This window comes from Homo sapiens, chromosome 10 (genome assembly GCF_000001405.40).
Source record: "Homo sapiens chromosome 10, GRCh38.p14 Primary Assembly".
Lineage (NCBI taxonomy): Eukaryota > Metazoa > Chordata > Mammalia > Primates > Hominidae > Homo > Homo sapiens.
The window spans coordinates 96,939,054-96,964,783 of record NC_000010.11 but is presented as its reverse complement, the minus strand read 5'-3'; the positions used below and the strand labels follow the sequence as shown (position 1 = coordinate 96,964,783).

The 25,730-nt window shown below is 36.9% G+C and overlaps 1 protein-coding gene across 4 annotated transcripts in view; it reads right to left on the bottom strand.

Moving 5' to 3' along the window:
- Positions 1-25,730, bottom strand: part of LCOR (ligand dependent nuclear receptor corepressor) — a 163,659-nt gene that overhangs the window by 31,173 nt on the left and 106,756 nt on the right. For 2 of the 4 annotated variants that reach the window (NM_001170765.2, NM_032440.4), the window contains exons 5-8: positions 20,539-20,671; positions 15,489-15,776; positions 12,588-12,681; positions 348-9,831 (exon numbers count right to left, since the gene is read on the bottom strand). In NM_001170765.2, coding sequence (NP_001164236.1) covers positions 8,862-9,831; positions 12,588-12,681; positions 15,489-15,726 — 1,302 coding nt within the window. In that variant the 5' untranslated portion in view covers positions 15,727-15,776; positions 20,539-20,671 and the 3' untranslated portion in view covers positions 348-8,861. Of the gene's footprint in view, positions 1-347; positions 9,832-12,587; positions 12,682-15,488; positions 15,777-20,538; positions 20,672-25,730 lie in introns of those variants that run through there. The other 2 variants (NM_001170766.2, NM_001346516.2) reach the window with 2 other exon arrangements.

Here is a 25,730-nt window from a genome sequence, read left to right as displayed (position 1 = left end):
GTCAAGACAGAAGACGGTATTATGAAAACATTACTGTATCTTGTTTAGCTGAATACATTTTTTAAAATGAATAATCCAATGAAGAAAACTGAGGTAATCTGAGCGCCGAGGTATCAAATTAGTAAAGACACTGAGTTTACAACGCAATATTGCACCTGAATATGAAAGCAGAATCTCACAGCAGCAACTTTATCTAAAAGATTGCATCTAGAAAGAATTTATCATTAAAAAAATCACTTTGTACCATGTGTATTTACAGTTGGAGTACAATCCAACTTTTACCCATTTTTTGAATTTTTCAAAAAGCATTAAAATCTTAGGAAGTAGAAACCAAGCTTTAAAAACAGTTTTTCACAACAAAATTTATTAGAAGAATAGTGGTTTTGAAAACTCTAGCATCCAGTGAGAACTACCATACACAACATTACAGCTGGGAATGTTTCTCCAAAATGTCATGGTCAAATAATACAATGGAACCATTAAATCTTACACATGCACGAAAGAACAAGCGCTTTTGACATACAATGCAAAAAAAAAAAAAAGGGGGGGGACCACATGGATTAAAATTTTAAGTACTCATCACATACATTAAGACACAGTTTTAGTCCAGTCAAAAATCAGAACTGCATTAAAAAATTTAATGTAGTGCAATCAAACCAAAAAACTTAATTTGTGATCATAAGTGCTCTACTACATAAACATTGATCATAGCAAGGAACAAAAAGTTCAAATCACACAGTACAAAAAAATCTGTAAATAAATATAAACTACAGTACAAGAGAAATATTAAATTATACAATTCCATCAAACTGTAAACAGTATATTGAAATGAGGTCCATAAGAGTAAAGGGGGTTCCTGTTTTGTTGTATGACACTTGAACTTCTAGAAATCTGAAAGATACCATTTTCCATATCTCCAAAGGCTATGGGTTTTATATGTGGAGAGAATTTATTTTAGATGTAAGATATCAAATATTAAAGCAGAGAAATAATCTATTTTGTTAACCACAGATAGTACTGCAGAAAACAAAAGCAATTTTAAAGAGGCAAGTCTTAACATTAAAGATGCAAAGGACTAAAACACTGGAATTAGAACTTCGCATCAGAAAAAACTTGTCACTGAGAACTTCAAGGCTACAAAATACACGGACAAAACTGTCTGCTGATATGCAGACCTAGACCTCTGCTAATTTTTTTGACATTTTACATACTCATGTTACAACACCAACTTTGGCAGAATCACTACTGATAAACTCAAAGCACTCCTGGCCCAATGGTTCCATCACAGTGGCCAGTGCACAAAATTCTCTAAAGACATTGCATAAACTAGAATGTAGAGGTCAGACACCCAAGGACCAGTGCTTGAATTTAGTAGTAGTTATCGTGAAGAAGCAAGAGCCACATCAAGAAGGAACTGCATCTGTTAACAGCTTACAGAGCAGTTAGGAATGTCTTTTGTTTTAGTTGTGCTGGCTATTAGTGGCATTTAAAAATATATAGTTTAACTGTGCATGTTTGTGTGTGTGTGTGTAGTGTGCTGGCTATACATTTATGCGCTTTTTTTAAAAAATACACTGTTAACAGGAACCCCCATATTATCTGCTCAGTAGTAATAACTGAATATATAGAATGCCACTATAAGAGTGTGAGGCACCATGTGCTGGAGAGTTATATGCAGCTTTAAAATCTGTTTGGCTGAGTTATACCTGGATACCTGAACTGAGTTTTTTAAGTTGACATTCATCAGATGTGCTACCAGCACGTTGAAATAAAAGCAAAACAGAAAAATACAAGTCACTGTTAGGTTTAAGAATAGCATCAAAGTACCTGAATTGAGTGAGAAGAGTGTGTAAACTGTCCCTGAGGGTTTTTAAACAGTGTGTACAAGCTGGATTCCTAAGAACATTAGTTTTATTCAACAATGTGGACTGATAAAATACCAATGTCTGACAGCTTTAAGTGGAGGTTATAAAGAATTATATGCAAACACTCCAAATGTATAGTTTATACATTTTTTTTCAAAGCAGCAATAAGCTGCTGTAAAGTATACATCCCATCACAACAAGCAACATGTGGGAGTCAGATAAAGGTTTCTATCTTAGTCTGGTTTTCTGACAGCACAGCATATCAATATCCAATGACTATTATCTTTCCTAGATCAGAATGTAACTAATTTTGACTAGTAATATAGGATTAGACTTTTAATCAAACACTTTGCTATTACATACTAAAATTCCTTAAACTTACTAATGCTGGTAATACTAACCTAGTTAATCATCCCCCCTCATTTTAGAAATATACCCTTCCACAACTTAAAAACATTAAGATCCATTTTCAGTCCTCTGGTGTAAAAAGCATGTCAGTGAATTAATATTAAAAATTTACAAAGTAAAAAGGCTTGAATTTCAGCCAAAGATTCTAAATACTGCTCATTCCCTGAAGACTTAAAGGGGGAGAGAATCCCTACCTATTTTCCTAGTGATTTATTTTTCTAAAATGGTTTGAAACAAATTTTTATTTTAGGGAATTTTCCCCCTCACCTTCTCTCAAATTCCAAATTCTTAAGCTTGAAATGCTTAACAAGAGAAAATGAGGCAATCACTTGGAATTGCTAGAAAGGTACAAAATGTTATTGTCTTTTTTAAAATAAGAATTATTTATATAAATGTGATCTGACCCCATATTATGTAGTATGTTTTATATTTTTAAATAATCATCCAAAAACTTACAGTACCTAAGACTCTGAAGATAAATTAAGACTTTAGTGTTGTAACAGAAAAAGTGCTGAATTATCCCTTTTCTAGTACTTTAAACATTTTGGACAAGCGCTTTCTTAATGACAGTGAAGTTTACTATATAACCTTCCACCACCAAGCAGGAAAAATAAAAAACGTCACCTGGATGAAAAAAAAAAAAGACTTTTAGGAGTGTAGCACCGGGTACACCAAATAATAGAAGTTGTTTCACTCATTCTGAGGGGGTAAAAATATTCTAGATTGAAATTCTATTTGGCTATTGACTGTTAAAAATCCCTGCTCTACTGTGTCAGTGTCCTGTGTCCAACTACCCCCAACCCCCCACCCCTAGTCCCCTTACACACTATCCACTGAGAATCTAATCTCTAATGAGATTATTTTAAAATTTATGTTGTCAGGACATACCTGAGAAAGGGTGCAATTATGCAGAACAAGGAACCCAAGACTGCACTAATACTGGTTACAGGTTCATAAATTCTTTCCCAAGACAAATCTAAAAAGTTTAAGAGGTATGGATCTTCAAATATGTCTTACTGCTTTAGATTTTTTTGGTATGTGTGTAGGGTCATTTCCAGTGTTGATCATCTTGAGCATGTTCAATGACAGTTCAAGATGGGGTAAAAGAGTTCATTTCCACATTCAAATAATAGAGATTAAATATTATAATAATATTTGCTATATCCAATAAATCTATGATTAACTAAAAGTGCTTGCTTTTTAGCTTTTCTTGATACAGCTCTAAATGAACTGGAAACCATAAAATTACCCCCCAAACGGTTGCAGAATTAGCTCATGTTCTATTGTCAAATCAACATTAATTAGCCTCGATTCTCATTTTTAAACAATGTAAAAGATTTTTCTATCAAATCAAGATGGCCTAACTTCACCACATTATCTTGTGACTCATTTTTAGTATTATAGGGCAGAATTTTTAGCCTCTTCTCAGAAGTCTACATGCTTTTTCCATCCTACTCCACCCTCCCCACCCCAATCTCCTTCCTAACACTTAGAGTTTATAGCTACAGTGTTGTGTTACAGGGCTAATGTCTGCTTCTTTAAAAGGTGACTGCAAGATTATTCAGGAATGAGGGTACACAAATAATGTCCTCTATTTTTCTTTCCATCACCATGTTCACAAATCCTATTCAAGTCTCCAGTACAGAATTAAACCAAAATAAACTGAGAAGAAAGAGCCTGGAGATCTGTCTTCTTTGTACCACAATTATACTTTTTTCCTTTTCAGATTTTGAAAGCAATTAATTTGAAAAAAAATCCCTAGATAGCTTAATAGTCTCCTAAACGGGCTGTTCTGCTGAAGCCATCAAGTTTTTAGTAATGCTAGCCTGACCAAAGCATTAATGAAGACCAAATTCTAATTAAAGGTAACAAGGAAAACAATCTTTGATATCTTCAAGAAGGCCAAAATTTAACCTATAACTTTCAATATCTCCTAAAAAACATAAAGTGGAGCACAATTCTGTCTATTGCCATATTCTATCACCAATGACAGCAACCTGAATATACAGAAAAGAGTGATTAATATGAAAACAACCTCTGGCATTTAATGAAAGGATTATAAAAGCAAAAATACATGTCTCAAAAGGAAATCTACAAAGATAAAAGCTGTTAAAGAAAATGATGCCAATCTCTCATATAACTGTTAAACTACTCAAAATATTTTCAACTTCTGACATCGAGCTGACTCAATTTGTCTTATGAAAATAAATGAATCCATGCTTCACTATTATGGGTCAATGAGATGTAAGAGAATCACAAAGGCTTAGAACCAGGCCTGGCACTGTGTGCTTACTTGGGGGTAGGGGGAGAACAGATAGCTCACTAGCAGCTCAAAGGTTGCTATGTACTGCCTAACGACAGAAGGTAGTTATGATATTGGTGTTAACAGGTAGTTGTTTTTAGTCTAATTTAGAGTTCTCTCCAAAACTTGGGAACTAAACTTCTCATTGTGCCTTTTATAGTTTTACCATCTGATCCCACATAGCTCATATTATAGCTAAGGTAAATGTTGGGGAAAAGAAATGCCAATTGGTTGAGGTAATGGTTTATATAAGATAACCAGAGTTCTAAAAGCACTTCGATATTGTAAAGTAAAAGTGTACCAAATAAAGCTAATACACACTTCACACTTGTTGAGCTTGCTCACCAGAACTGAACAGTAATTAACTTCACATAAGGACCCCTATTATCACACAAAGCCTTACTCATATTCATGATCTGCTGCAGCAAAGGTTTATCAAGCAACATCTAAACTTCAGAACAACAAACTTAATATTAAAAAGTATTATACACAAATATAAATTATTTTTCCTGAAAGAGTGACCTTGTCCTTCATGGTATTTGGGGAACAGAAAAAAAGTGTATAGCTCATCACAAACATAATTCAGAGTCACTTATAAGCCCACTGAACAAAGTAATATACTACATTACCATCAAGCTGGATGACTATGCTGTCTCAGAAATGAGAAAGCTAAAGATAAAAATACCAACTAGATATCCTTCCACAGAATTAGTGTTTTTGATTTTATAGTGCCATAGCTTATCTACCCTATAACATCAAGGTCTCTGAAAATGCAAAAAATTATTTTAAATACATTATTTCCTATCAATAGTTCCAAGAGTGTTATATATTAATAATTTAAGTAATGTTATCTGCCTACTGGAAAATGTGAGGAAAAACGGCTTTCGTGACAAAGACAGTTGTGAACTACACTTTCCCATACCATAAAAATGGTCAACTGTTGTTTGGGCCATGCAAAACTCTGATTAGCAGAAATTAAGCATGCTAATAGACCAATCTCTATTACACATTGTGAGGACATCCCCAAACTAGAATATCTACACTGAAAGTGCCAATACAGAATAGTGGCAAATCAAGAGAGAAATCAAATATTAAGGAATCACTGCGGCACCAAGACTGCCACCAGCCGTGTGATGAGCCACCTCCGAGAAATACATGGTATAATGGAACTCTGAACACAAAATTTAACATTAAAAGTGCACCTGAATATTACAAACTAACTTTACAAAACCTATAATAAGGTAAAATATATATCTTTTGAAATATTCCAGCAGCTTTTTGTTTTTTTTTTTTTTTTTTTTTAAGTTTTTCTTTTTTGAGAGGCTCATGAAATTCAAAAGGGACCACTAGCTAATTTCAACCATGCTTCACAAAACAATAATGGCTATTTTATATTGCAGTTACCAATGTAATGCAATTAGTGCTTTAAAATAATCTACACTCAAAAAAAGAGAGAGAAAGAGAGAGACCTTTGGAGGAAATATGCTTATTCAAAAGCTTCTTGGAAAAGAAAATTTACCTGAATATCAAGTCATGACTGATCTCAAGTGTAATGTTTAAAAGCTTCACAGACATGAATATTACAATCTTCAGGTCTCAGGACTTTTAATCTGAGAAAGTTTAGAGTTTGGTTTGTTTTTTAAATTCACTTTCTAACCAAAACAAATAATAGAAGTACTCAAATTTTCACTATTTACAACTCTCAGCCTACAATCTGAAATGACACAATACAAGTTCTCTTAAACTGCAGCATTAAAGGGTAGGCACACCATTCTTCTGCTGCTCGATTGTCATCCACTGAAACACACATAGAAAATATTTATGTTAGTAAAATGATCACTCCATGTACACTACAATGACAAAATTTACATAACTCAACTCATACATCACTTATATAGACTACCACATAGGATTAAACCTCTCTGAACAATAAACTCTACAAAAGTTGAACTTTTAGGGCCAGATTTTTAATGGGCCTTTAGTGATGTCTTTCTGAGAGGGGATAAAAGCAAGCACAAATTAATTTTCTCAAAGGACCTTTTTGTAGCAATCCTGGGCTACTGAATATCCCAAACATTACGCAAAAAGGTACTATGGCTGCAATTAATTGTGTGCTGACAAATTCTTGAGTGTGTAACAAAGGAGGCATTCCTTCATAAGCTTAGCCCTTTGCTTTCAGCAAACTTTCTATGATTTCCTTCAATTACAGATGAAAACCATATATTTCATAAGGAATTTTTATTGCAACTTCCAGCTAGGTGACAAAATATTGTAGAATCATAAAATGCTATTGAACCCAAACTGTTTTTTCTGTTAAGAAGTCTAGAAAGCTAAGAGGAAACAGGCTCAGTTATCCACTGATTAAACTGCTACACAAAATAACCAAAACAAGAGGAACCCACACCCAAGCTATGTCAAGAATGAGCAGTGCATGTATTTTAGTAACAGCAATGGTGTGCCTAACCTTTGAACACACAGGTTGCTGAGGGAAAACTTAACCTAATTTAATTAATTGCTCCAAAGTTTCCAGGCAAGAATTTATGCCTTGGAAATATCTGGACCTCCCCTCAAACTGTTAGTATCCATCTGAAATCAATCTAACCAACCCTCCAATTTTAATTTTATTTTACACTGAAACTCCAATAATGTTTGTTTTTGGTTAAGCATTTAGAAGGGCCTGACCACCTTTCTCAGCAGATTAGAATATACAGTACATGTGGTGTGGAATTTGTTTTGCACAAATAGTAATTTTAATCTGATCACAATGAAAAATTAAATTCCATGGGCTTTGCTTATTCTTGCAAAAACCGCAGAAAATAAACTTCCCTTATTATAATTTTAAAAGCCCATCTCAGAAAAAGCTTAGATATTCTTCAAGGAGTGCTTATACAAACATGATCTCAAAGGTCCTGAACTGTGTGCTAAACAACCATGAATATCAGCTAATTATCAGAAAAAGTCAAGAAGGGGGGTATTATGTAGGATGCCAAAAACAGAAAAAAATTCTAACCAACAAAATTAAATAAAAACTTAAAAAAAAAACCCAACACCTCTCCCTCCCCCTTCTACTAGTATTTGGATCAGTTAAAAAAGGAATTCCAATGAGCTTGACTTCTGATTGAATTGTTAGAACTGATATGCATCCTAAATCATATCGGGTTACCTTGGGGTTTTTTTCTCTCACTACAAACATGGATCCTTCATTAATGTGGACACTGGGCAGACTACTGAGGCTGTAAAATCTAAGTATCACTTTTGCAATATCATAATTACTTATACACATTTCTTTCCCTATTTCTCCCATCCCCAATAAAGAGATCTTGAATATCTTAGTCTAGTTGCTGCAATGATATTCAGTTAGCACATCAATTCTGTAAAAGGACTGAAGAATACAAAGAAACCTAGTTTGCTAAAATGAGGCATCCTCCATTGTTTTATGTAATGTACCCTGACTGCTCCTGAGTAAATACGGAGCTCGTCCTCCATGAGATAAGGCTATATCCTCACTTGTTGGTGAGACCAAATTCTACCCTTAGAAAATCTCAAATGAAATTACAGCAAAGGTAGTGTTCAAAGTAATTAACTGAAGCATTTCTGAAGGTAGTGTGTGCACATTTTCCACCACCTTCCCCTCTGGGTGAGCACTAATAGCTTGCTAATTTAAATAAATTTAATAGTGAGAAGAAAATTATAAAATGTAACTATAAATGACCCAATAATTATGTCAGTGAATAACCAAATTTCTCAAAGTCAAAGGTTCATTGTTCTTCTTAGTTTTTTCTTTAGTTTAATCCTTCGATTAGTTGAATCGTAGATGAAAAATGTGAATAATTTTGTATAAGATGGCTTTCCAATTTGCAGTGATAAAGCTCCCAGTATGACAGACGTAGTTTCTAAAAGGGGGCTTTGTTTCCTCTTCTTTTTTAAAAAGTAAAAACAAATATAACTTAAGAAAAAACAACAACAACAAAAAAAAACAAAAAAGCATGCAGGCTCTACAGGCAAGGAGTCCACTTCCATGTATCTGTTCTCTGTGAGGTAACTCAATTCTCTTTTGTAGAGAAACATGCAAAAGGCCAAACATATTCCGAGCCATACTGCACATGAAAAATTTAAAATATGCAACATTCAGAATGCACATTTCATCTCTGTACACACAAGTCAATGCAAAATCTGCAAAGAAGCAAGTGTCACAGTAAATGAAATTACGTGCAAGCAATGATAGCTGAACAATGATGCAGTAGTGCTCACCCAGTTTGTACAGTAATTGGCACTCTACAGTATTCCTACTCGTTTTTTGATTCATTTGCACTTTGTGCTGCCTCTCCCTGGGGATCTAATTCAATCTTTACAGAAACATCTGGCCCCTCCGACCTCATTAATTTCATCTTTTTCTTTGGAGGGTTTTTCAAAGTGCCCAGCCTCTCCTTTACTTTGTACTCCAGTGTACTGTGGGGAATCCCATAAATACTCTGAGCTTTGGAAACACTCATTTTTCCACTCATAACCACTGAGATTGCTTCCTCCAGTATCTCACTGTTGTACTGTCTGTAACGCCCTCTTTTCTTCCGAGGCTGCTTGGAGCCAGGGTCTCCTTCTTGATCCGATGTGGGATATGGCTGTCCAGAGGTAGACTGCTCAGCATCTGAGCCCCAAGAATCGGGTCCAGCATCTAACATGCTTTTTCTACTTTGTTTTGGAAGAATAGCCCTTAATTTTTTACTAAGCGCGCTCTCCGTTTGTGAACCCATTACCAAAGAGCTATAGCTGTACTGATCACCAGTGCGAGACTCCCAAGAAAGATCCATTCCTCGAACTTGTGGTATCTTTAAATCTACAGGAGATGAATGGCTCACATCCTTTTTTCCATCTTGTTTTGCTTGAAGTGCCATTTTTGGAAAGGCAGAGTTTTCTGCAAGAAAAGGAAGGTCACTGATGTTGCTGAGTGCACCATTTCCCCTGAACTTCATACGGCTGAGGTTGAACTCGTAATGTGGTTTTGCCCAAGAGGCTTCCCTGGATAATATTAAGTGTTGTCCATGATTCTGTAATCCAGATGGCCCAAGGCTGGCAGCTGTGGACAATTGGTTTCTGCTCAGTAGTTCTTCACTAATCTGCAGGGATCGAGCCAGTGGAACTTTGAGTGATGTGGAGTGTCCAAAACCTTCCCTGGTTCCATCCTGTAAGCTTCTTGGAGGTACCCCATCACCACTCCGAAGTCCGTCTGGGCGGTACTGGCTGGGTCTCCCAGGTCGCCTAATTGGATGGAAGGAAACTGATGTGAGCAGGACTTGCACAGGTAGGGAGGGATGGGTGAGGGGACCACTCCTTTATTAGAAGGCCTTGCTTGGGTAACATCACTTTGTGTTATTTATTTATTTTTCTCTAAAATTAAAAAAAAAATGGTCTCAGCAGTTAGTTTTAAAACTTGTTCACAAAAAAAGGAAAAAGGAAAAAGAAAAAAAATCAGGAGCTTTTTGGGCAAAGAAAAATTAAACCTGTCAGCCGGTCTCTGGTTGGGTTCACAAATTTTCGGAGAAAAAGTTTCGCGCAACTGTCTGAAAATAGCATCTTAATTATTAATTACAAAGTAATCATCAGTCTCCATAGATCTACACAGAATTGTGTTGCCAATGTGACGTTACCACTAAACAAGTACAGTAATAAAAGAGTAAGCCAAATTATTTATTTTAATTCAATGTATTCAACATTCATGACAACTAGTGTTAAAACTGAAACCATATACATTACTGGAACCCATAAATAATTGCTCATTTATCCCACAAACAAGTTGATATTCATCATCAAAAATCAAACAATTCCAAGTAACATTTCTTATTTTGCTTGGGGGGCGGGGGGGAATACATATATATGGCTAACAGCCCCAAGGGAGAAAAAAAAATTCCCAAATAAACCAAACCAAAAGACCCACTGCATTATAACTTACCACACGTCTTCATTTTAAAACACTACTAGTTGCAGATACATGAGTATCATGATTTTCCATTTGAAATAATCCAAGCTTAAAAGAAATTACTCTTTATTTACCCCTTAAGTTCTACTCAAAGTAATTACTGTCAGAGGGATATAAACAATTTTTTAGCAGTTTTCTCTGGCTTAAAAAAAACTTCCCTTCTTGAAATACCAAACACCTATTTTGAAATTTCAAATGGACGGCTTTCAAACAATGTTTAAAAAGTCAACTACTTAGACAAAGTTAATTTGTAAGGTTTTGACTTTCACAATAAGAAAGATTATCAATATTAAGACTGACATGTGGCAAAACATGCCCAAGGGGATGATTACATTAATTAGGCACAAAATAGGGCTTTGCAGAAATGATAAACCAGTTATGTTCTACAAAACTCTATGGGGACTACTATCATCAGTAACACAATAAGGATAACACTGAATATTCAACTAAAAGATGGGCAATCCTATTGGTGCATTTTTCTTCCATAAAACAAAACCAGTAGAAAACACTTTCCATTCAGAGGGATAAACACAGCAACTTCAACCATATAATACATGAACCTGGTAGCCAAGTTTACAGAGAATCTTAAGCAAAGGATTTGTTTATGCAAACTGCACATGGACTTCTACAGGTGTCCTTAATTACACAACTCAAGTGTTTTTTGTTTTGTTTTGTTTTGTTTTGGAGACAAGGTCTGGCTCTGTCACCCAGGCTTGAGTGCAGTGTTGTGATCATGGCTCACTGCAGCTGTGACCTTCTGGGCTCAAGCGATCGTCCCACCTCAGCCTCCTTAGTAGCTGGACTACAGGTGCACACCACCATGCCTGGCCAATTTTTGTATTTTTAGTAGAGACGGGGTTTTGCCATGTTGCCCAGGCTTGTCTCGAACTCCTGACCTCAAGTGATCTGCCCGCTTCAGCCGCCCAAAGTGCTGGGATTACAGGCCTGAGCCACCACGCCCGGCTCAAGTATTTTTTGATATATAAATAGAACCCAAAGATTTGGGAACATGCTGACTTATATCTAGTATAAACCATAGTGAAAAGAAGGGGTTAAGAAAAAGATTAGTACGCATAATGGATTAAATTAATACTTTCTGGAAATGAAAAGTTTTGGAATTTTAGAGAAAATAAAGGGAGATTTTAGAAGTCTGTAAAGGAATCCTTCTATTTGAAGGTAGTTAACAGTAAGTTGGAAAAGGTTAGTCCACTTAGCATCCACTTGTTCCTTTAATATCTAAGTAACTCCCCCACATTGATAATCTGAAAGTTCAATAAGCCTAAGTATTAGCTAATTTAAACTTACCAGTTATTTTTCATATCTAAAGTTGATTTTTTGTCACACAGTTTTATAGAAATGCTTTTTCAACATGGTATCTAAATGTCTTAATATTAATACCTGACTTTTCTAGTTGGTTATCAGATACACATAGGGAGAAGACAGTTCTTATACTATAAAATTAGGGTGTCAGAGAATTTACTTTAGACTCCTAAGAGTTATCAAAACTGAGCAAGTAATAATGTCTTGGTAGCCTAAGATGGTTATGCATCAACATCTACCATCAGTCTTTCAGAAAACTACATTTTCTGAACTGCCAAAGTACAGTTCTCCATCACCAAAACCAAACCCAAAAGAAACAAACAAAAATGAACACACACACACACACACAAACCCCACTAGAGATACCAAGTATTGGAGTTCAATTTTCATTAAACAGCTTCAGCACACATAATACTGTCTTTACATCTAAACTTTAGAATTATTTGAGTATCACACTCCAAAACATGCCACAACAAAAAGTCCAAAGAAATAATTGCCATATTCATGGTTATTTACTATTTGTACTAAACTGACAAAAACTCATCTGTACTAGCCAATTTTACATTGCACAGATTATATTTTTATTTGATCTATGGTCCATATTTATAAATGACTTACTTAGAAGGGTTATTTTTTAAAATGTAAAAGGGAGACTGGCATCAACCTTTGATGAATTATCTATATGAAACTGTGTAAGGCTACAAATATTCTCCCTTACCCGTTCCCTTGAGTACTGGAGCAGCCTGGAGAGTGGCTCAGGGAAGTGCTGCCAGCACATGGACTTTTCTTAGTGGACAGATCAAGTACACCGTCTGCAGAGACACAAAGAAACACCTGAGGATATTAAAAGCTAGGAGCAAATGTAAACTAAATAGGCTAAAAATGAAAAAGCAGTTAAGCAGGCTTATTCAACTAAGCAGATATGCTAGTCATATATTTGAGTTATAAAATCAATTAAATCCTGAAGCAACATAAATTTAGCAAGGCATGTTATACTTAATATCCTCAAGGGCTAAATATATTATTAATGGGGCAAAAGAAAAGGTAAAACATGTTACTGAAGATGTTAAGATATAGTGAAATACTAGAAATAGCAGTTCACATAGCATGAGGTCCTCTGTTATCAGATTTTTTAAGACTCCATTTTCTAAATTTTCCTTGATCAAAGCATACAAGTTTTTAATGTCCCACAATGGCATACAAACTATAGAACCAAATCCCTCAAGAGCTAAATCTACCTGAAACTCCAAAAGTACATACAAATTCGATATAGAAAACTTTAAATAAGATATAAAAATTATTTTTAAATGTAAATTTATGTCATTAAAGTACATGTATATACTAAACAATATGGTCTGTAAGATGAATCAGTTAATGATTTATGATTTGGGTGTGTCTAATAGTTTTCTAGACCATCTATAAAAAATGTATACTTATATTCAATCCTTTAAAAAAATTTTGCAGAGATTCAAAATTCAATTGCTGAATTTTATGAATGCAAGAATTTTTCAATTAAGAAGACAATAAAAATTGGTGAAGAAAGTTTAAAGAAAGAAGAATGAAACTGTCTTGATACTGATGAGAGCCTGGAAGTACAACCATTTTTTACTACAACTAGACCAAATCACAAATTCATGTTATTAATATATAAAATTAGAAGACTTTCTTTTCCCTCAAAGACGTTTTTCTCCTTGTTGAAATACCTGGAAAAGAAGTCTTTTAAAGCTACCACTCTGTCCAAAATTAACAGAACAAGATAATACACAATGTCTTTAATTTTCAGTTGGCCAGTAGAGGGGTCGTGCTATCTAGTTGTGTTAAAAATCACCCCAGAGTAGAAGCTACTTACAACTTGTATCTGAGGACATTTTATTTCCGGCTGTTAGAAATAAACAGGCAACAGAGTTTGTAAATAAAAAAACCCCACACTCATAAGAAAGAGTTTTGTCCTTTACAGTCACTAGTACTTCTAAAAATATAATTATAAGCTTATAGAACCAATTATCCTATTAGACATCTAACCCAATTATACATCTAAGAAGCAAATGTACTACTGCTTACAACTTTTCCAACCAAAGACACTATTATTTAAACGCAAGTCAAATAGACAATTTGTCTAATCAAACAGGCAACATATTTTAAATCTACCACTAAAAATATTGTGGTTTTTGGCTGAAAACACATTCATTAAGGAAATATAATTTAAAATTTTTTTACTTCATTTGAAGTCTACACACTATAATGCTATCATGTAGTTCAAATTCCTCTTTTTAAGAGCATGCTGTCAATACAATGTATTGATCTCTTAAGTGTAACATTAGTTATAACAAGTTAAATTAGATTAAGTGGTATCATTTTATGTTAACCTCCATTAATACTTTAAATATTATTCTATGTTGTCATTCTCCTAATATAAACCTGAAACTTCTGATGCAATATTTAGAGTGAGGAGATCTTTAATGAAAACTACCAATTTGTGGAAAAGAAAACAGTCATCAATAAAAGATACAACTTTGTAAATATGGTAACCAAAGGAACATGAGCAATGTGAACAAGTAGGAGGTCTCCTGTCAAGAAATCTCTCAGAACTCAGATGTTTTGTTTGCTGTTCACCACACAGGAAAAGGATAAAAGCAAAGGAAAACTACTCAAAAGAAAGTTCATTTCAAAGAGGTTAAGAATTAAATTTATTTTCCAAAATAAACATGTATTTCTCACCAATAAATCCAATAAATAAAGGTTACAATAAATCTCGTAACCTTTCTGTATACTCAAGATTTCTATGACAATAAAATCTCATTAGTACAGACATCACCAATTTACAATTCGTAGTGGTTCAAACAGTGGCTGAGTTGAAATGCTTGCTTCAATTTTTGTGAAATTAAAGGTAAAATGAGATCACAAAGCAACAGGAATATCTACTGAAGAAAATAAACTTCAGAGACTCAAGAAACATTTGCTAAACAAAACTAATAACCTCTTAACTTCATCACTTAATTAGTGTCCTCATCAACAAATTCCCTTTTGGAAATACTTTCAAGTTAGTCAGTGGATGTGTGTGTTTATATATGTGTTTCTGTATTTATAAAACATTGAATATATTTAACAACCTAAAGTATGTTCTGCTGCTTTCTCTATTTGTAACCCTAGCAGTTTCTTTCTCAAAATTCGAATACATGTTTTTCCTTATGATCTCATTTGCAGAGTATATAACTTATACCTGCAAGTAGAGGCATATTTCTCAGACAGGTGCTAGTCCTAGAAAATTTTTAGTTAATAAGAAAACTTACTTTTTCATAGGAGTTTTAAAAAACATAAAAATACTATGGAAAATATAAAATGCTTATATAAATATCAAGTAACTGAAAGATTAGTGACAACTGTTAACCACCTGACTTTCCTGAGTGGTACATCAATCATGACTATGAACTGCTGACAGATAAGGCTGTAACAACTTTAGCTGTACTTCTCCATCACTGCATAGTAAGAAATAATTTAAGAATCACATTAGTTTTTATGCTATTATTGCTGCTGATGCTCTACTTGCCAATGCTTTTTTTTTTCTCCCCAAAGTAAAGTATTCTGATAAGATAGAGGAGACCTTGACATCAAACCATACCTTGTTCGCTAGGTTCTGACTGAGACTTTCTGACAGTAAGGTCCAGAGGTGAGTCTTGGTCAGCCATGAGAAGTTTGCTGAGCACAGGGTTCTGAGTAGTTGCAGCCGTGGGAGAGGTGGTGACTGGAGATGCTTTCGGCAGGCTTTGGTTCTTTGTGCTATTGGGCTGGCTGGGGTCCTGAGTAGAGCTATTTTTTGAGGTATATTCAGCAGCAAATTGTTGGATCATTCGCTGCATGATCTCACGGGCCACTAGGGGAATATTGGGGTCGGAGACCCAGGGACTGTCTGTAAATAAAGATTTATTTACTTTTAAAGTGGGACAATGTACTAAAAAAGACAGCTTTCAAGTAAACATAAAATTTCATTTTATTTTTCTTAAAATGCAGTTATCTTAAAAATAGTATCTCCCCTTTGACTTATGTTTTCTAAGCTTTTGAGTTGTCTATTTTTAAAAATAAAATTTTTATTAAAATAATTCTAAACATCTTCCCCCATATAATAATTGAATATTATGAAATTAAATAAAGGGATAACAACTAGAATATCTTATGGGCAAGAATCACTTACCTGATACAGAAATCCCAAAACCCTTCACTTAGGAAATACTCTCATGTTAACACACCTATAGGTCACATCAAGTAACCCTAGACTTTTTCCTCAGCCACCTTCTCCTAAATATTTGAAGAATGCATTACTGAGTTCATGAGTGCTTAATTTACTTTATATTAAAGACAGAAGGCATACCAAGATTATAAAAGGAGATACTTAATTTTAAGATCCATTTTAGGCTAGGGCAATCATTCTCACACTTTAATGTTCATCAGAATCACCCTGACAGCTTTGCAAAAACAGCTTGTTGGGTTCTCTCCCCAGAGTTTCTGATTCAGTAGTTCTAGGGTGGGCTCAAGAACTGGCATTCTAACAAGTTCTTAGATGCTGCTGGTCTGGGGACCACAACTGTAGAACCTCTGGGCTAGGTGTTTAAATGTCAAATCTCAAAAGCCTAAGAAAAATCACATATTTTCCAGGAGTACTTTAAATAAACTCTGCCAACTAGTAAAAAAAAATAAAATAATGAAATAAACATCTAAATTATCAATTTCTAGTCAATGTTAAGTTTAAACCATAAGAACTCATTAACTCGAAGAACTTTTAGCACTGGAAGAGACTTTGAAAGGCAAAAGAGGTTAAGATGAAAGGGAAAATGACTTGTATAAATATATTATCATCATGCCTCTATAATTACCACACTATAATAGTCAATCAGGAAGACTAAGCTTCTCAAGAGCTGAGACTGTGTTTGTTTACCTCTGTGTACCTCTAAATACCTAATCTTGCCTGATTTAAAGTGTATTCGATTTAGCTGAATACTAAATAGGTCAATCAAATCAATCACCATGAAATAGTCCTTTTAAAAAAATAAAATGAGGGAAATGTGTTTGTTTACCTCTGTGTACCTCTATATACCTAATCTTGCCTGGTCTAAAGTGTGTATTCAATTTAGTTAAATACTAAATAGGTCAATCAACATGAAATAGTCCTTTAAAAAAAAAAAGGGAAATGTGATCAAAAGAGTAAGTGGCCACTACAAATTTATATAGGTGATTAGTGATAAGACTCTCAATTAAAACTCTTCCCCTGATCTTACTGTTTTACCTGTGACCTTTGCTTCCCACCACACTTTTGAGGTTTTACAAGACAGTTCTCAGAAAACCAAGGTTTCTTTAGTCTTTTAAAGATTAGCTATAGAAGGCAAATAACTTTACCCACAGTATTTTGGGGCTGTAAGGAACTTAAGAGTTTAATTTATAAAGTTAAAGAAAAACTGACTCTAATTACTAAAATCTAAAATCTCCATAATAAACAACAAACAAATACATCATCAAAACCTCACAGGACTCCTAAGAACAGGCAATTTTTTCCCCCGAAAGGACGATATTCAATACCAGAAGATGGTCACAAAGTTGTGCTATTTATTTCATCTTCTGGAGTTTAATGAGGCTTACTCTACTAGTAATAACGCTTCTGTCACACTAAGGAGTATTTATAACTCTAACTTTCCTCTCTATAAATAGAGACTATAAGTATTCCCGGTGGTTTAAAAATAAAGGTATGGAACTAGGTAAGGTTCAGAAGTTGCTACAGTTACTGAAAATGGTTCCTCAGTTGTTTTAATTAACATTTTATCCATACACTGCTTTTTAAATATCTCCATCCATTGAATTTTCCAAACAGTCATTTAACGTTCCAGTTAAGACCCACTTTTCTCCCTACATAAATCTCCATATGAACTATTGTATAAATTTCAAGTTTTAGTACATTAGTTTACCTTTCCACCCCTGAATATAGTTGGGAGAATATGTAATACATAAAGGAAATTTCCATATAAAAAGTAAAATAAAATTTATGAATTTATGCGATGCCTCTGTGTTTAAGTAGTATTAATAAACATAAAGAGCTCTGTGAAGAGTCAAAGATATTAGAACAAGGACCACAGACCACTATCTTTGAGCACTCAATGTCTGCAGTATCTTGTCTCTTTATTGAATGAAAACACAGTCATGAGACAAGACAGTGTTTATGAATTACATCTCTGCCATTTGAATTTCTCTATCTTGTGGAAGTTTATTGAACAGATTTCATTCTTTGACATACTTAAAATACACATCTACAAACATATCCACACCCAGGGGAACACAGCACAACTGAGTCAAATAAAAGCAACAAATCAGATGAAAAATAAAACTGCAGAAAAACATGTTACATCACAGCCACCTGTGTATCTTAAAATGCAAATCTAACTTTTTTAATACAAGTGACAACGCAAGCTAAAAAGAAATGTCATTATGACATTTGTAGAAGGTATATTGTTCTTGAAGTGAAATTATGGATTCCATATCCTAAAAGCTTACTTTTATTCCATCTCTGATTCTACTTAACTATACATAATCCTTACACAAATTATTTAAAACATATAATTTACAATACTTTGAAACAAGGGACCAAATCTAAGCATCTGAATTATTAAAACAAAAGATTCTCTTCAGACTAAAATGTCCATCATATCCCTGGATACTAAACATTTTTGGTATTAATTTAAAGAGTACTAATGGCTATCTTGGAGATGGTTACAAGAGGATTATATCTAAACATAGCAATATTAATACATAAAGGGGAAGAAAATGTCCAAATTCCAAAGGAACAGTTCTTTCTCTGAGCATCACATGCCTGTACATAAACAAATAAACTCAACTTACAATTTCAGAGCATTCCCATCTCTTGAAATCTATCCTAAGACCAATTCCAAGGTAAGAATTCCTCCCCTAAAGGTTATAACCCAAAAGTTTAATTTCTTAAAAAAAAAAAAAGAAAAACTTTATAAAAACTTGAAAGTTATTCCTCTATGACAAAGGGCTTAGGACTAGCAGAAAAGTACGACAGAATTTTTCTGTAGGAGTCTTATGATTGACTTTATTAATGTCCCCTAAGCAAAGAGTGGATGAAAAGTGGTTCCTCCATGTAAATTAGGGAGAGGAAGTCCTCTTTTCAGATAATGAAGCTTGCTATAACAACACAACAGATCAATGACTCTGTGTACATCCTTCAGGAGAGGAGCTGTAAAGATATTTTATTTGGTAAGCAAACTGATAGAACTGCTCTATAAGTTGTTTATACTTAAATTTGCTTTTAACAATCAGATGTTCATAAAACTAAGAAAATGATTATTTTGAACATAATTTTAGAATTCTGAGCAATGTGCAGGGATAATAAGACATAGGAGACTCAGCTGGGAGATTTAGGTCAGGAGGTGCTAGTGGGTGTTTACAGAGAATTAAGGATGTACTAAACAATTTAATTCTGCCTAGGGATCTAATGGAAGAAAATGGGAAAAAAAGTGCCACAGAAAATAATCTCTGCATTTCTTAATTTTATATGACACTACACTTCACACCGCCTTTTGGAAATACTGATCACATTAAGCAGAAGCCCAGCTAGTGTCCAACTGTAAAGAAACCCAACAGAACCAGCACTTATCAGACTTTTAACCAATGTCAAAGGGAAGGAGGGAATTTCCAGAGGAATGAGAGGTGTAAACTAGAACATATGAAGAATTATTAAAGAAAATGGAATCACTGAGTCTGCTGAAGATTAAGTAAGAATATTTAAGATTATCAAGAGTTTGTATGAAACTTTTTTAGAACCCATCACAGTAACCACCATCTTGGAAATGGAGGAAAAGTGTAACTAAGAAGTATAAATCCATTTAGAATTTCTTAAAAGTAAAGACTCCTCACTAGAAAGGAACATGAAGGGAACTTTCCTGAAGGTTCTGGCTGATGGTAATTATGCTTTGTGAATAAAGAATAAACCTGAATGCCTCTATGAAGGATTGATAAGCCTCAAGACTCCATGACTGAAGAACTTTTCTGTATTTTGAAAGAAATGTAAAACAAGCCTACAAAAGTTTCAAGGAAAAAGATAAATTTTAAAAATGCAAGAGGTTGAGCTATTAAATGCCACCTCAAATGCAGGGGGAAAAGTTTTACTACATAATAATTATTTCCCTAATTTTAATTAATATAAAAAATTTTAGTGAAACAAGACTATATCAGAAAAAAATGCTTACAAATCTAATTTTATAACTACATTTTCTCTCCAAATGAAATTTCACGTTGAAATTACTAAAAAAAAAAAAAAAATCACACAGTTGGATTTAGTTATCGGTGATTAAAACAGTAACTGTCTCCATAAGAAAAGTTGTCTAACAAAATGTAGTACTACTGAGAGCTTAAAATTTTCAGAATTTCCTAATAATTTTCTAAACTATTTAATTAAAACTCACCATCACATCAGAGCCTAAATGTGGGGAACAGGGTTTCCTTAATCCTAATTCCAATTTGAACTTGACCCAAGGTATATAGAACAATATAAATTATATCAATAAAGAAAAATGTTTTTAAGAGTAACTTTAAAAATGACAATGAAATTAAGGAGATCAATAATACAAGACAAGCAGATGCTAAATATCATCTTCACTGAAACCAACCTTTTCTATAAAAGACTGCATTGAGGAATTCTTCTGCTTGTCTCTCGAATCGAATGATTTTTGCTTGCTCTTGTTTAAGCAGAGCTTCTTGCCCAGCTCCCGAAGCTGGTTCATCCAGACCGACTAAGTGTCCCTGCAAAAATACTTGGTGAAATAGTTGCACACACGTCTTTCCCCATTCAATAACAAAAGCATAGACGAAATCAAAGTTAGTAGCAAATAAGGCAAATTAATTTGATGCAATTAAAATATTTTAAAACTTCAGTATAAATTTTATGAAAAAGTATACAAGCAAAATAAATGTAAACATATTCTTCAGCTGGATTTTATCTACTTCTTTTTTTGACTATGAGTTTTGTTCAAAATTTACTCTAACTAAACTTTAACTGCCAGAGGGATAATTTCCTTGAAAGCACTCAAATATATTGGTTCTATTATACTATAGTTATTTTTCACAGGCAACTCAATTCAGACAGAAGGCTTTTTTTTTTTTAATTTACCAAAAAAAAAATTTTTTTTGAATTCCAAATCTCATTTGAGGATCATGTTTGCTTTCCAAGTATGAGATCTGTTTTTCACCAGACACAAAACACAAACACTTTTAAAAGGCCATTAGGAAGAAAAACTCAGAATACATCTGAATTCACAATTCTGTCTCTAGATTACTATTTTTAAAACTGTGGTTCTCAAACCTTTAATGGGTTGTAAATTGATTAAGTGGTCAAAAGTAGCATTAGCAAAATGAACTGAAAAATAGAATGCACTGCATGTTCTAAGCATAAGCATTGCATTATCTTTTGTTACAATACATCTATGTTTGAACAGCTTTGAAATATAAACAGTGAATCTGACCAGGCGAGGTGGCTCATGCCTGTAATCCCAGCACTTAGGGAGGCCGAGGCGGGCGGATCACTTGAGGTGAGGAGTTCGAGACCAGCCTGGCCAACAATGGTGAAACCCAGTTTCTACTAAAAATACAAAAATTAGCTGGGCGTGGTGGCACGTGCCTGCAATCCCAGCTACTCAGGAGGCTGAGGCATGAGAATCGCTTGAACCCAGGAGGTGGAGGTTGCACTTGAGATTATGCCACTGCACTCCAGCTTGGGTGACACAGCAAGACTTTGTCTCAAAAACAAACAAAAAAAAGTAGGTCAGAAAGTTTCTCTGACCAAAAAGTTCCAATATGCTGCACTATAATCATCCCCGAGATTCCCAGCCTCTAATCCCAGACTGCAGGAGCACTGGACCAAGTTGGCAATACCTTGCACCTACCTCCACTCTTGTATCTTACAATAACAGAAAATAAAAGTATTTTTAAGAAGCTAAATGCATATTTAAGTGTTAAGTTCTAGTGCATATAATTTATTTGAAATCACTTTAATGTATGAATTAATGTCTTTATTTCCATATATAAGTGTTCTAAGTAAGAAAATGGGACATATCTTGGCACAATGAAAAGGAATTAAACAACACATTGAAGACATGTTATAATGCACAAATGATTCCCTCAAAAATTTAAAAAAATACCCACTGATATTTGCAACCAGCTTTCTATGATTTCCCATCCTAAGATTTATGTTAAAAGCACAACCAAAATATGTATTTAGCATGGATTATATATTGTAAAAAGCTTAATATGAAGAACTCACTGGCATATTCAAATTAAAATAATGATCCTTAAACACTGCTATATAAGGCACAGTAAGTTTGCTATATAATGTATTAAAAAATTTAACTGAAATATTTTAAGTCTTATAAATCATGACCGCTCCCTCTCCCTCTCCCTCCTCTCCCTCTCTCCACGGTCTCCTTCCACGGTCTCCCTCTGATGCCGAGCCAAAGCTGGACGGTACTGCTGCCATCTCAGCTCACTGCAACCTCCCTGCCTGATTCTCCTGCCTCAGCCTGCCGAGTGCCTGCGATTGCAGGCGCGCGCCGCCACGCCTGACTGGTTTTCGTTTTTTTTTTGGTGGAGACGGGGTTTTGCTGTGTTGGCCGGGCTGGTCTCCAGCTCCTAACCGCGAGTGATCCGCCAGCCTCGGCCTCCCGAGGTGCCGGGATTGCAGACGGAGTCTCGTTCACTCAGTGCTCAATGGTGCCCAGGCTGGAGTGCAATGGCGTGATCTCGGCTCGCTACAACCTCCACCTCCCAGCCGCCTGCCTTGGCCCCCCAAAGTGCCGAGATTGCAGCCTCTGCCCAGCCGCCACCCCGTCTGGGAAGTGAGGAGCGTCTCTGCCTGCCCCCCCATCGTCTGGGATATGAGGAGCCTCTCTGCCTGGCTGCCCAGTCTGGAAAGTGAGGAGCGTCTCTGCCCGGCCGCCATCCCATCTAGGAAGCGAGGAGCGCCTCTTCCCCGCCGCCATCCCATCTAGGAAGTGAGGAGCGTCTCTGCCCGGCCGCCCATCGTCTGAGATGTGGGGAGCACCTCTGCCCCGCCGCCCTGTCTGGGATGTGAGGAGCGCCTCTGCTGGGCCGCAACCCTGTCTGGGAGGTGAGGAGCGTCTCTGCCCGGCCGCCCCGTCTGAGAAGTGAGGAAACCCTCTGCCTAGCAACCGCCCCGTCTGAGAAGTGAGGAGCCCCTCCGTCCGGCAGCCACCCCGTCTGGGAAGTGAGGAGCCCCTCCGCCTGGCAGCCACCCCGTCTGGAAAGTGAGGAGCGTCTCCGCCCGGCAGCCACCCCGTCCGGGAGGGAGGTGGGGGGGGTCAGCCCCCCGCCCGGCCAGCCGCCCCGTCCGGGAGGTGAGGGGCTCCTCTGCCCGGCCGCCCCTACTGGGAAGTGAGGAGCCCCTCTGCCCGGCCAGTCGCCCCGTCCAGGAGGGAGGTGGGGGGTCAGCCCCCTGCCCGGCCAGCCGCCCAGTCCGGGAGGTGAGGGGCGCCTCTGCCCGGCCGCCCCTACTGGGAAGTGAGGACTCCTCTGCCCGGCCAGCCGCCCCGTCCGGGAGGGAGGTGGGGGGATCAGCCCCCCGCCTGGCCAGCCGCCCCGTCCGGGAGGGAGGTGGGGGGGTCAGCCCCCCGCCCGGCCAGCCGCCCCGTCCGGGAGGGAGGTGGGGGGGTCAGCCCCCCGCCTGGCCAGCCGCCCTGTCCGGGAGGTGAGGGGCGCCTCTGCCCGGCCGCCCCTACTGGGAAGTGAGGAGCCCCTCTGCCCGGCCAGCCGCCCCGTCCGGGAGGGAGGCGGGGGGGGGGTCGGCCAGCCGCCCTGTCCGGGAGGGAGGTGGGGGGGTCAGCCCCCCGCCCGGCCGGCCGCCCCATCCGGGAGGTGAGGGGCGCCTCTGCCCGGCCGCCCCTACTGGGAAGTGAGGACCCCTCTGCCCGGCCAGCCGCCCCATCCGGGAGGTGGGGGGCACTTCTGCCCGGCCGCCCCTACTGGGAAGTGAGGAGCCCCTCTGCCCGGCCACGACCCCGTCTGGGAGGTGTGCCTAGCGGCTCATTGGGGATGGGCCATGATGACAATGGCAGTTTTGTGGAATAGAAAGGCGGGAAGGGTGGGGAAAAAATTGAGAAATCGGATGGTTGCCGGGTCTGTGTGGATAGAAGTAGACATGGGAGACTTTTCATTTTGTTCTGTACTAAGAAAAATTCTTCTGCCTTGGGATCCTGTTGATCTGTGACCTTATCCCCAACCCTGTGCTCTCTGAAACATGTGCTGTGTCCACTCAGGGTTAAATGGATTAAGGGCGGTGCAAGATGTGCTTTGTTAAACAGATGCTTGAAGGCAGCATGCTCGTTAAGAGTCATCACCACTCCCTAATCTCAAGTACCCAGGGACACAAACACTGCGGAAGGCCGCAGGGTCCTCTGCCTAGGAAAACCAGAGACCTTTGTTCACTTGTTTATCTGCTGACCTTCCCTCCACTGTTGTCCTATGACCCTGCCAAATCCCCCTCTGCGAGAAACACCCAAGAATGATCAATAAAAAAAAAAAAAAAAAAAAAAAAAAAAAAATCATGACCACCTTTATTATAGTTGTATTTGCCAACATTCTTTTATAAATTTCCGTATCACGTTAACTATTTTGAGGAAAGCTGAACCATTTTCCAAAGCAGCTACACCATTTATATTCCCAAAAACAATGTATAAGGGTTCTGACTTCTCCACATACTCATGAACACTTGTTATCTTTTTTATTATACCCATTTTAGTAGATAAGAAGTGGTATTATCTCATGGTTTAAGGTTTGTATTTTTCTAATTGACTAATGATGTTGAGCATCTTTTCACGTGCTTATTGGCACATTATACCTTCTTTGGAAAAATGTCCATTCAGATCCTTGATCTTTTATTTTTGAGACGGAGTCTCACTCTGTTGCCTAGGCTGGAGCGCAGTGGCATGGTCTTGGCTCACTGCAACCTCCGCCTCCTGGATTCAAATGATTCTCTTGCCTCAGCCTCCAGAGTAGCTGAGACTACAGGCGCGTGCCATCAGGCCCGGCTGATTTTTTGTATTTTTAGTAGAGACGGGATTTCACCGTGTTGGCCAGGATGGTCTCGATCTCCTGACCTTGTGATCCGCCCGCCTCGGCCTCCCAAAGTGCTGGGATTACAGGCGTGGGCCCCGCGCCCGGCCTAGATCCTTGCTCATTTTTTATTGAGTCGTTTACCATTTTATTGTTGCATTGTAAGAATTCTTGATATATTCTGAAACAAGTCCATTATTAGATATATGATTTGCAAATATTTTCTCCCATTCTTTGAGTTTTCTTATTATTTGATAGTATTGATGGTACTGTTAGCAGCATGAAAGCTTTAATTTTAATGAATTCCAATCTATATATTTTTGGTCACTTGTGCTTTTGATGTTATACCTAAAAAACTTGGTCATGAAGATTTAACCCTATGCTTTCTTCTAAGAATTTTATACTTTTAGGGCGTACTTTTAGGTCTATAATACATGTCAAGTTAATTTTGTGTATGGCGTAAGGAAGGGGTCCAACCTCATTCTCTTCCATGTGGATACTCAGTTGGTTCCAGCATCTTTTGGTGAAAAAACAATTCTTTCCCCCAACGAACTGTTTTGGAACTCTTGCCAAAAGTCACTGGCCATACATTTTACTTCTGGACACTCGATTCTATTCCACTATTTATATATCTATCCTCAAGCCAGCATCACATTAAGCTGACCAACGTTGTTTTGTAGTAAGTTTTGAAATTGGTAAAGTGTAAATCCTCCCAATTTGTTCTTCTTTTACAAGACTG